Source organism: Homo sapiens, chromosome 1 (genome assembly GCF_000001405.40).
Source record: "Homo sapiens chromosome 1, GRCh38.p14 Primary Assembly".
Taxonomy (NCBI): Eukaryota; Metazoa; Chordata; class Mammalia; order Primates; family Hominidae; genus Homo; species Homo sapiens.
Window position 1 is genome coordinate 111,360,766 of NC_000001.11, and position 12,725 is coordinate 111,373,490.

Sequence of the window (12,725 nt, forward strand, 5' to 3'; positions counted from 1 at the left end):
TCCCTTCCCCATCTCCCCTCTGCATATGATTTGAGGTTTTTCTTTCTTACACAGTTGAAATAATGCATTTCACCCTGATCCTTGGATTCTATGTGTAGGGGACTATTGTGTACTGTAGATGTGTCCCAGCCACCTTGGAAGTCATAAGTCATCACACTGATGAAATCAAGGAGCCTGGAACAAAGGATTTTAAGCCAACAGGATTCTGGAGGAATTTTCTTTTTCTTTTTCTTTTTTTTTTTTTTTTTTTGAGATGGAGTTTCACTTTTGTTGTCCAGGCTGGAGTACAATGGCACGATCTCGCTCACTGCAACCTCTGCCCTCCTGGGTTCAAGTGATTCTCCTGCCTCAGCCTCCTGAGTAGCTAGGATTACAGGCACCCACCATCATGCCCAGTTAGTTTTTGTATTTTTAGTAGAGACAGAGTTTCACCATGTTGGTCAGGCTGGTCTGGAACTCCTGACCTTAAGCAATCCACCCACCTGGAACTCCCAAAGTGCTGGGATTACAGGTGTGAGCCACCACGCCCGGCCTGGGGGCATTTTCTTTTCTTTTTCTTTTTTTTTAAGTATATCTTTTTTTAGTTATTATTATACTTTAAGTTCTAGGGTACTTGGGCACAACATTACATAGGCATACATGTCGGTATATGAAGGGGTGGCCTGCCCCTCCACATCTGTGGGTATTTCTCATCAGGTGGGACAAGAGACTGAGAAAAGAAATAAGACACAGAGACAAAGTATAGAGAAAGAACAGTGGGCCCAGACACCAGCCCTCAGCATACGGAGGACCTGCACCAGCACCGGTCTCTGAGTTCCCTCAGTATTTATTAATTATTATTTTCACTATCTCAGCAAGGGGAATGTGGCAGGAGAACAGGGTGATAGTGGGGAGAAGGTCAGCAAGAAAACATGTGAGCAAAGGAATCTGTGTCACAAGTAAGTTCAAAGAAGGTACTATGCCTGGACGTGCACGCAGGCCAGATTTATGCTTCTCTCCACCCAAACATCTCAGTGTAGCAAAGAGTAACAGAGCAGCACTTCCGCCAGCATATCTCGCCTCCAGCCACAGGGTGGTTTTCTCCTATATCAGAATAGAACGAATTCATATGATCGGGCTTTACAGAGATATTCCTTTCCCAGGGGCATGCAGGAGATGGAGGCCTTCCTATCTCAACCGCAAGAGGCCTTCCTCTTTTACCAAACCTCCTCAGCACAGATTATGGGTGCTGGGTTGGACGGTCAAGTCTTTCACTTCCCATGAGGCCATATCTCGGGCTGTCTCAGTGGGGGGAAACCTTGGACAATACCCAGGCTTTCTTGGGCAGAGATGCCTGCGGCTTTCCACAGTGCATTGTGTCCCTGGTTAATCGAGAATGGAGAATGGCAATGACTTTTACCAAGCGTACTGCCTGTAAACATAATGTTAACAAGGCACATCCTGCACAGCCCTAGATCCCTTAAACCTTGATTCCATACAGCACATGTTTCTGTGAGCACAGGGTTGGGGCTAAAGTTATAGATTAACAGCATCTCAGGGCAAAACAATTGTTCAAAATACAGATCAAAGTGGAGTTTCTTATGTCTTCCTTTTCTACATAGACACAGTAACAGTCTGACTCCATGTAGGGTGTTTGCCTAGGTACACTTAGAGTTAGGTATTTCTCCTAACGCTATCCCTCCCCCAGTCTCCCATCCCCAACAGGTCCCGGTGTGTGATGTTACCCTCCCTGTGTCCATGTGTTCTCATTGTTCAACTCCCACTTATGAGTGAGAACATGCGGTGTTTGGTTTTCTGTCCTTGTGATATTTTGCTGAGAATGATGGCTTCCAGCTTCATCCATGTCCCTGCAAAAGACATGAACTCATCCTTTTTTATGGCTGCATAGTATTTAATGGTGTATATGTGCCACATTTTCTTTATCCAGTCTATTATTGATGGACATTTGGATTGGTTCCAAGTCTTTGATATTGTGAATAGTGCCGCAATAAACATACATGTGCATGTATCTTTATAGCAGCATGATTTATAATCCTTTGGGTATATACCCAGTAATGGGATTGCTGGGTCAAATGGTATTTCTAGTTCTAGATCCTTGAGGAATCGCCACACTGTCTTCCACAATGGTTGAACTAATTTACACTCCCTGGGGGCATTTTCTTATAGAAAATTTAAGAGCAAAAAATGATAGCCATGGGAAACATATGTCAAGTAGATATCCATATGACCCCACCAGTGTGGCTTCCTATGGTGCTCCAGGGAACGATGTTATTTTCTGCAACCCCCATAGGGCTGGAGAGGAAGCCTTTTTTACTTCCTTGACAAAAACAGAAAAAACCCAAAGCAGAAAGCTAGGAAATGTGGTTGTTAGAGCTCATAACTGAGAAACACATGTCTCTGGGAGCATGGGAATCATAGTGAGTAACTCTCCTATTGCTTTGTCAATAATAGCTTTGGTGACTTTATATCATTTTTCAGGAGAAATTGATAATGAGGATTGCTATTATAAAGATTCTGCATGGCCTTAAATCTTAGTCTTCTTCTTCCCAAAGCCTACCACAATGACCATTTAAAGGAGCCACCATCTTATCCCAAAGCCACCAAGTCCTCAAGTCTGTTTGGCATTGGACACTAGTTTTTCCAACACTACACTTACAGCACTGCTTGGGATGCTGTCCACCAAAAAGTTTAGAAATCTCTGCTCTGGGATTTGGGGACCCCTGAGAGACACACTGCACTCACTTCTTGATCTCTGAAATTTCATATCCTGCATCAATGGTCTCCTTGCCAGCAGATATAGCTGCTGTGATACGCAGCCTGGGGTGTCCTGTTCCTTTAGCCTCTTCTTCAAAAGCCTCCAGCATTTCCTACAGAGAGAGTGAGGGTGGATTTGAGTGGCTGTCTTTATTATCTATTTTCTACAGTAAGCACCTCTTAGGCTTCTTTCCAGCTCCTAGCAATTCCCCTTTTCTAGAAATAGTCCCCAATATACAGGTATGGGTCTTGATAAAGTATAACTTGGAACAAAGAGATACTACACATACTAGTTGTCCTAGGGTCCAAGTTACAGTTAATGGCAATTCCAAAGAAAAAAACTAGGACCTCCTGGCAGAGTTCACTCTTCCTTCTAAAGTGCTAAACTTTTTGGATTTGTCGATAGCCATGCTAAGCTCTTTCTGCCCCCAAGCTTTTGCTAATTAGCCACGGAAAGGTTTTTCCTGCCTCCAGGCTTTTGCTAATGCTGTTCCAACTTCCTTAGAACAATTTTCTCCCTATTCTTTTTGTGGCTGGTTGCTGTTAATTATTCATATCACAGCTTAAATGTCACTTCCTCAGAGAAGACTTCCCTGACCATCCTATTTGCTTCCATCATAGCTCTTATCACAACTTATGATTATTTGATACTTTTTTGGAGTCTGTATCCTCTTTGCAAGCCCCACGAGAGCAAGGATCATGTTTCTGTCATTAACTGCCCTAGCTACAGTGTGAAGCACAGTGCCTAGATGACAGTAGATGCTCAATAAACATTTACTGAATGAACGACTGAGATAATGAACAGTTCCTCCTTCCCAGTCCAAGGATTTCTCCCTTGTGTTTCTTCAGATACCTATATCTTTCCAATAATTCCCTTTGGGCTTACACTAACCAAAGAGTCTGTTTCTATCGCTTGCAACTCCCAAACACCTTAACTCGTGTACTGCCTGAGGGCAACATCCTTTGCTATCCCCAGGAAATTCAGCCCTTACAGAAAATCCATTAAGGTACAAGCTTCTCTACAAGACGACACAGAGCTGGTGCTCCATTCTGTTGGAAATAATGCTCAAAATCCTAAGGAAATTAAACACTCAAACAAAGGATTTTCAGCGAAGCAATTTTACTTCTGCGCAAAGAGGTGCTTCTGCTTGTGCAGTCGCCATGAGAGCACACCTGAACAAAGGGGCGCGAGGGCCTTTATTCCTGATGCAAGCACTGCCCCTGTGCCCTTTCCCCATTAGCCAAAGTCGAGCCACACAATCTAAACTACTCCTGGTTGGCTAAACATTTGAACTTTCTTTAGATAAGGTGGGCACCTCAGGGAGAGAGGGGAAAGGGACGGGGTGTCTGCAGTGAGCTAGAGAGCTAGTCTTCTTTCCAAATAAGGAAAGGAATGTGAGCTGGTACTGATAACACTTGGTACTGTGGCATGTCTGGGCATGTAACAAAGGCAGAAAGGAAGAAAGAGGAGAAAAGGGAAAGGGGGTACTATGAATTAAAGAATAAAGGATTGATCAGGCTGTTTGAAGAGAAACCTCATCATATCCCACAATTCCCAGCTTAACCAGGATGGTAAATTACTGTTTGTCCTCAGGTGGGCTTCCCTGAGACCCTGGATATTTGATATTCAGGTCAATGCCATCAAATCCACGTTGGCGAAAGAAGTCAATGACAGAACAGTTGAAAATCTTGTGATTGGCATCTGTGGCACCAATGGTTATGAATATAGGCAGAGAGCTTGTCTATATTAACATTAACAGACCCCAGGAATTCTCCCCACATGATCTCTGATAGCAATTCTTATTCTGTATTTTATAATAACCCCTTCTGGATTTTTAGAGTTAAGATAAAGAAACCCAAAAATGTAAATGTTAATCAACAAATACGTGTTTTTAATTTAAATTTTTTCTTCAGTGTACTTATTGAATAGTATGTTTCCATTTATTTATAACATCAAAGGTACATATACATTTTCTTTACTAGTGGGATCTTTCATAGGGCAGTGGTTCAAATATTATATTTCTTTAACTCTTAGATGTTTATTTCTTAATACTTACTATTTCCAAAATTAAGATGTGACTTACAATCTATATATATATATAATACGGCATTTCTGCCCCCCAAAGATGTACTATTAAATTTAAGCTGAATCCAACATTTTAAAGTGCCTCAATATCTAGAACAGAACTTATAGGTATTAAAATTCTGTCATATCCTCTGCCATAGTCAATAACTGTATAGCCTATAAACAGTATTTAAACACTCCAGGTTTGTTCCTGATTATGATAAGCCTGTAATTAATGTTTCGTAAACCATATCACAACTTCTCTAATTTATCTGTTTTGTTTTTTAAGTTCAGGTATTTAATAGCTAGAAAGGTTTGTTTGTTTGTTTGGTGGAAGTAAATTGACTAGCATCAAACTGGATAATTTAAAATGGGGAAGAAAAGATGCAGTTTGGAGTTGTGGGTGCAAAGACTCTTATTTATTCGAGTTGTGGAGGCAGAAAAAGCCATGTTGGTGGAAAGGACATCTCAGGAAGAAGAAATATTGGTCAAATACCACAAGTAAGCATTAGCCTGTTAACTTATAGGTAACCATCAGAAAGTCTACTGACTATTACAGTGAGAATTTAAAAACTTAACTGCAACTTGTTCTAACCATCACACTGCTACCTCTAGATAATTGGGGAGGGGAAGAAGGAAGAGGAGCAAGTTACTTTTTATGTCAAACAATCGAGTTATCTGATTTTTAAAATAATTATGGGAATGCATTACTTTCATAATCTAAAAAGTAGCTTAAATGGCTTTTTTATATACAAGTCAAATCTATTTCACCATCTCCTTTTCCAACCCCAGAGTCCACATGTCTGTGATGCTGATTATCTTTTCTTACTACTTTCCAGCAGCAAAGCCTATGACTCAGCCCAGGGCTCTTCCATTCTCATCAGCAGACAATAGCTCTTCTTTACCACCAACCTTCCTCCCTACCATGCATCATTCTCTATATTCTTTTAAGTACTTGATTCTCACTGCACCGTTGCTATCTCTCCATAGCTGCTGTAGCCAGCCCTTCCCACTCAGATATCATCTTTGCAGGTGCCAACCTTTTTCTCCTCTAGAATAACCATCTTCACCTCCTTCTCTGGCATTATTGTTTCCCACCTCAGCCTTGGGGACTCTCTTGCCTCCACCCTCATCCCCTGGCCATGAGGAGGCTCTACTTCTGAGTACCAAAGTTCCCTCTACCAGTGGCCAGCAAGTTGACCAGGTCACCATTGCTGCAGAAAGAAACAAAATGTGCTTCTGTGAGATCTCCGTGAGAACTCTGTGAGCCTGCAGGATGCAGATATCACAGAAAGCAACTTTTCTTGCCCTCATTCGTGACTCTCTGGGGAATGGGCAGCTGCCAAGCACAACTTCTAAAGTCCCCATGGCAAGCATTCCTCCCCAACTGCCCAGGTGGTGTTTATGTTATATTTTACCATAACTGTCAGAAATGTGCATATTCTTTTCAGGAACAAACTGTCTGCAAAGGACTTTTCCTCTCAGAAATTTATGCTAGTGAGAATGAACTGGAGACTGAGCTTGGACTTTCCATTATCCCTCCCTGTCTCTCACTCACTGTAGACTCAATTCCTACAGATTGTTCTTTCAGGGCTTGGAACTGAGGATATAGGACATCACTATCATTCCATTCATAAGAAGCAATTTTGTCATTCACAGTGGCGAAGGCGTACATCAATTGTATACAGATATGGGTTCACATTCTTAGGAAATAACTTGGCTGGTTCTGGTCAATACAGCAACCAGTTGGTAAAGTAATACACTAGCTTATAGGCTGAGCCTAAGAGGAGAAAGCAGCAGTTATGTGGTTCAAGTCCCCCAGTGCGTGTCTCACTTGCTAATAAACTCTTCAAGGGAAGAGTAAGTAACCTAAGAATTAGCTTGGCATATACCTGGTAGATACTGCTACACACCTTTCCTATGTCTATGTAAGACCTTGCTAAATAGTCATGACATTTTTTTCCATAGTCTCAGCAAGACCTAAGCATCTTTCATAGCCAGAAAGCTTTAAAATTCAGTAAGAGTCAAGATATAAAGTAAAATGAATTTGCTATCACAGAAGCAAGTGGTCGGGGTAATGATGTTCCTCAGATATTATGCATCAATTTATCACAAGAATAGACTGTTAAACGTTATTATCAATAAAATGGTAACCTTTTGTAGTTGGCATATGAGGTGACTGAAGCTTTATTTAAAGGCTTTACATGCATCTTTTTGCTTATATTTTTAATTCTCATAACAATCCTACAAGGGAAACATTATTCTCTTCTTTTCAGATGAGATTCAGAAAAACTGACTTGCTCAAGACTGCAAGGTTAAGATTAATACCAAATCATTTATCCATCTATTCCCCAGGTATTTATTGTGCATCTACTATTTCCAGCCAGTCTTACTCCAAAGTTCATGCCCTTCCCACTCTACTCTCCTGACTCCCCCTATCTAGGTCTTAGCCGTGTCTCATATGTATAGCCCAATGCCCAGGAATTAGAAAAAAATGTTAGGACATTTGAGGAGAAAAAAGACAAAACAAAGAGGAGTGGAGAGTAATAGATAATAGAGACTACACCAGGCTTAGCATCAAGACATATGTTTAAATCCTGATGCGAGTGGTGTGGGACAGGCCACTTCCCTCTCTGCACTTTAGTTTTCTCACCTATAAAATGAGGAGTTTGAGATTAATGATCTATATGTTCCCTCCCAGTTCTAACAAACTGGGATCCAGCAAGCAGGCTGGGGGCTTGGGGCTCTAGTCCTGACTTCATCATGGAAGGAGAAGGAAATGAAGAAAGAGAAAGAAATTTAGAGCTGGAAGAAAAAAGAGAAAGAGGAGTTAACTATTAGGAAGAGTGGAGTGTAGGTAGGAGGCTGTTACTCCTTACCTATTTGCACCTGCAGTAGAGTAGCTGAGCCTGAAACAAACAAAAAAAAATAATACAATAACAAGAAATCCTCATATGGACTTTCCGGTTAGGATCTAGTGCTAGCGAGGAGACTCACAGGGTTTCAAGGACCCAAGGGCCTTTGGACCTATCAGTGGCGATTCCCAGGGCCCCATTTTATTATTCCCAGGCTTGGAGCTCAAGTCCCTCTGCTCAGAGGGACTCCATATAGAAACCTCCAGGTTTATATCAGAACTCCATAAAGAAATCTCACTGGAACAGATGCTGGCCTTCACACCCCATTCCCAAGGCACCCCCATGACCTATAGGATAAAGGGCAAAAGGAATGGGAGACTCACAGGCCCAGGGCAGCATCCTCTCCATTGTGCCTCCACACCAGCTGCCTTGCTCAGCCTCTTGGTTCAGCCTCATTTAAGAAGAGGTCCCTTTTATCACTGTGGGAGCAGCTTAGCTGCCATCTCATGACCCCAAGTCCTGAGACCATCGTGTTCCTGTCTCCTATCCTTCATAACAGCAAGCACCCCTACCCCACCCAGAGGGACAGAAACCTAGCAAAGGCAGCAAAGACCCCCTCACCAGCCCAGGCCCGGCTACTCTGACAGAACTCCTTGCTGTTGGAAGCCTCAGCTGGACACTGAGGCTGAGTTCTTCCCTCAGAGAATGCAGAAGCCCTGGGAGAGAATGAAGGGTGCTATGCTGGGACTTAGGGTCCCCAGGTCCAGGGCTCAGGGCTAGAAAAGCTCATGGGGGATAGAGCCAACATATTGGAATGCTCATTTAAAGCATGTAATTTTCCTCCTGATGGACCAAGCCCAGTGCCCAAAGTCAGCAGCAGGGTCTTGGAAGGAATCCAGTTCAGGAAAGTGGCATGATTATCCCTGTGCGTCATCTCCTCCTCAGTTCCTTGTGCTTTTGCTGCACAGCTGTAGAGGAAGGACGGAACAACTATAAGATGCTGCAGCTGCCAGCTCTTCAGCTTCTTCTTCCCTTATTGCAGCCAAGGGCAAGAATGGGGAGAGGGCAGCTGCTGCCAGAGAAACATTATCTTTGTACCCCTGCCCCCTTCTCCTCACCCTAGGAGGAGGGGTGGAAGTATGGTGCAAAGAACATTGTAACCTACTTTGCTAGAGTCTGACTCCCTAGGGAAAAAACAAAAACAAAAACAAAAACAAATAAAACCGACTAGATTTGTGAGTAAGAGAGATATATGGCTGAAAGAGGGGTCAGACGCACTTGGGAAGCTAGGGTTGCAGGTGCCAGGCTCTGTTTTGTCTCACCTTGATAACCCCAAGGCTATAGATTTTCCACTGCCAGTGGCTGTACCCCTCAGTACTGGGGCTAAGCCAGGCAGATAAGAGAGGGCACAGGTGCAGGGGCAGCTGCTAGCTTTTGCTTAAAAGCAAATCCTCAGGCTGAGCCAAGAATTTCCTCAAGGATTCTAGCTTCCTTTTAGCCCGCTTAAGAAAGAGGTGGTTCATGGCCATGTTCATAGATATGGTTTGGCTCTGTGTTCCCACCAAATCTCATGTTGAATTGTAATCTTCAATGTTGTGGGAGGTATCCGGTGGTAGGTGATTGGATCATGAGGGTGGTTTCCCCCTTGCTGTTTGCCTGATAGTGAGTTCTCACGACATCTGCTCGTTTGAAAGTGTGTAGCTCTTCCCCCTTCTCTCTCTCTCTCTCTCCCACTCCGCAATATGAAGAAGGTGCTTGCTTCCCCTTTACCCTTCCACCATGAATGTAAGTTTCCTGAGGCCTCCTCAATCATAATTGACTAACAGTTCCTCACAGCCTACAGAACTGTGAGTCAATTAAACCTCTTTCTTCATAAATTACCCAGTCTCAGGTAGTTCTTTATAGCAATGTGAGAATGAACTAATACATTCATCTTTAGATATGTGGCACGTGGCACAGACTAGGCACTTGATAAAAATTGGTTTAATTAATAAATGTCTTGTCTTCAACTGTTCTGGTGTTGGCAGTATTCAACCAACAAGCTACTCCTGACCTTATTCATTGTCTATTGCTGTATGGCAAATTACTCCAAAGCTTAACCACTTAAAACAATAAGGCAATATTTATTATTTCATATAGTTTCTGTGATTCAGGAATAGCTTACCTGAGTGGTTCTGGCTTGGGTTTTCTCATGAAGTTGCAGTCAAGATGTTGGCTGGGGCAGTCTTTGAAGGTTTAATGAGGGCTGGAGGATCCACTCATAAGATATGTCACTCACATGGCTAGCAAGCTGGTGCTGGCTGTTGGCAGGAGGCCTCAGTATTTCCTTGATGTACTTCTCCATAGGGATTCTAGAGTGGCAGACAGCTTCTCCCAGAGTAAGTAAATCAAGAAAGAGCATAGTAGAAGTCACATTCTGTCATATCCCCAATATCCCATTGGTCAGATCAGCCAAAAATTGGTGACACCATCCCTGCCCTCCAGGAACTCAGAGACTAGTTGGGGAGATAGGGCTATTGTGGGGTGCCATGGGAGCACAGGGCAAGAGTACTTGGCCCCAACTGAGTTGCTTACCCATAGCCTCCCAAGTCTCTGACTCATCCAACTGGAGTTTTTAGTAGGGTTCTCAGATTTTTATACACTTACCCACTGTTCTCCAGGGACATGTGCCTGGCACATGGAGAGTGCTCAATAAATCTTGAGTTTCCTTCTTCTTTTTCCAGACATGATTCCTGTCTGAGGCCCACTTTATTGGTAGAGCTCCTGATGGGTCTTACTCTCCCAGTTTGCTGACTGGGTCTGCCCAGTTGCTTTGCTGTCCACTGTGCACATATCTACAACTCAGGATGGGACTTGCCAGACTACAGCCCATGTCTTGGCTTCCATCAACCAAGTTACTCCCCAAGCAATAGAACAGTCTGCGTTTTTTAGGTTAAATGATCTCCACTCTGTTCTTCCTTCCTTCTTTGAACAGTAAAAATATACATTGGCATACAGAAGGGCAGATAACCCAGCCCAAGATCTTTTGGAAAATTAGTAAAATCTTACCAGGTATATAAATCTTACTAGTATATCCAGTAAAATCTTACCAGGTATATAAAAATTATTGCTCAAGATTCCCAATATTCTCACGTCTTACTATTTGTCTAACACCTAACACCTAAGATATATTTTTCTATTACCTTGACCCAAAACATTTTTTTCCATTTCACAGTAACTTGAAGATTAGCCTAGAAATATTTCTGATCCCTTGGAAAAGAAACACTGAAATTATCATTCACCTCCTACTTCTATCACTACCTGAGAGCCCCCCACCCCCCGCCCAATAGGCTGACCTACATGAGCGCTGAACCACACACATGGAAAAAGGAAAATTGCACATCATTTAGGGGAAACAAATAGCCTAAAGAAGGAAAACCAAATACATTTCAATAAATACAAAAGTAATTGTGAACTTTGCATTATTTTTCATTAATAAATGTTTTATGTAATATTTTTGACATCTCATAAGACAAGTCTTTATTACTTTTATTTTTTAAAAAAATATTTTCAGTTCATAGGGAGAGGAAGCAGAGCAAGATGGCCAAACAGAAGCCTCCAATGATCATCCTCCCCACAAGAACACCAAATTAAATAACTATTCACACAAGAAAGGACCTTCATAAGAACCAAAAATCAGGTGAGCAATTACAGTACCTGCTTTTAACATCATAGCAAGGAAAGAGGCCTGAACAGCATAGGAAAGACAGTCTTGAATTGCTGACACACCCTTCTCGCATCTCCTGGCAGCAGCAGCAAGTGCATGGTGCAGAGAGGGAATCTATATGCTTGGGGAAGGGAGAGCACAGTGATTGTGGGACTTTGCACTGGAACTTAGTGCTGCAAAAACCAACACAGGATAGAATTCAGTGGGCACCAGGCCTAGCCAGAGAGAAATTGCCCATCCCAGTGGTCAGAAACTGAGTTCCAGCTAGCCTTGGCACCACAGGCTGAAGTGCTCTGGGGTCCTAAATAAACTTGAAAGGCAGTCTAGGCTACAAGGACTGCAATTCCTGGGCAAGTTCTAGTGCTGTGCTGGGCTTGGAGCCAGCAGACGTGCACTGGGTGCACACAACCCAGTGAGACACCAGCTGGGGCAGCCAAGGAAGTGCTTGCACCACCCCTCCCTCAACCTGAGGCAGTACTGCTTGCAGCTCTGAAAGAGATGCCTTCTTTCTGCTGAGGAGAGAAGAAGAAAGAGCAAAGAGGACTTTGTCTTGCAACTTGGATACCAGCTCAGCCCCAATAGGATAAGGCATCAGGCAAAGTCCTGAGGCCTCCATTCCAGGCCCCAGTTCCTGAATGACACTTCTAGACACACCCTGGGTCAGAAGGCAATGCCCTGCCTTGAAAGGAAGAACCCAGCTATGACAGGATTCATCACCTTCATTCAAGGGCCCAAGGGCCTTGAATAAACATCAGCAGTAGTCGGGCAGTACTCGCCACAGGCCTAGGCTGAGACCCAATAACATGCTGGCTTCAGATGTAACCCAGCACATTCCCAGCTATGGTGGCCACAGAGAGAGACTCCTTCTGCTTGAAGAGAGGAGAGGGAAGAATAAAGGGGACTTTTTATTGCAGCTTGTTTACCAGCTTGGCCACAGTTGGGTGGACCACCAAGTGGGCTCCTGGGGGTCCCCAATTCCAGGCCTTGGCTTCTAGATGGCATTTCTGGACCCACCCTAGGCTGTGAGGGGGCTCAGCACCTTGAAGGGAAGGACACAAGCCTGCCTGGATTCACACCTGTTGACTGAAGAGCCCTTGGGCCTTGAGTGAAAATCCGTGGTAGCCAGGCAGTGGTCACCCTGGGCCTTGGGCAAGATCCAGGGGTGTACTGGCTTCAGGTCTGACCCAGTATAGTCCCAGTGGTGGTGGCCACAGAGATGCTTGTGTCACCCTTCCCTCAGCTCCAGGGAGCTTAGAACAGAGGGAAAGAGACTTTGTTTGTTTGGGGGAAAGTAAGGGAAGAGAAGAGAATAGGAGTCTCTACCTGGTAATTCAGATAATTCTCT

General features: G+C 43.5%; 1 long non-coding RNA gene across 2 annotated transcripts, besides 1 other annotated feature; it reads right to left on the bottom strand.

The window, feature by feature from the left end:
• Window positions 1-774: 774 nt before the first annotated feature.
• LOC105378904 (uncharacterized) lies at window positions 775-10,927 on the bottom strand. 2 transcript variants are annotated; one of them, XR_947704.2, is made up of 4 exons: window positions 9,839-10,927; window positions 7,699-7,728; window positions 2,743-2,867; window positions 775-1,083 (listed from the first exon to the last, which is right to left on the bottom strand). It is a non-coding gene; the product is annotated as an uncharacterized LOC105378904 (long non-coding RNA). The 2 variants fall into 2 exon arrangements; XR_001737802.1 differs by lacking the exon at window positions 7,699-7,728 and having other exon boundaries at window positions 809-1,083.
• Window positions 3,548-4,747: an enhancer, noted in NCBI's record as "MED14-independent group 3 enhancer chr1:111906935-111908134 (GRCh37/hg19 assembly coordinates)". NCBI's record gives its function as "activates an origin of replication core promoter dependent on BRD2, BRD4, P300/CBP and CDK7 cofactors, and independent of MED14, by STARR-seq in HCT116 cells {active_cell/tissue: HCT116}" and the evidence as "EXISTENCE:reporter gene assay evidence [ECO:0000049][PMID:35650434]".
• Window positions 10,928-12,725: the final 1,798 nt, after the last annotated feature.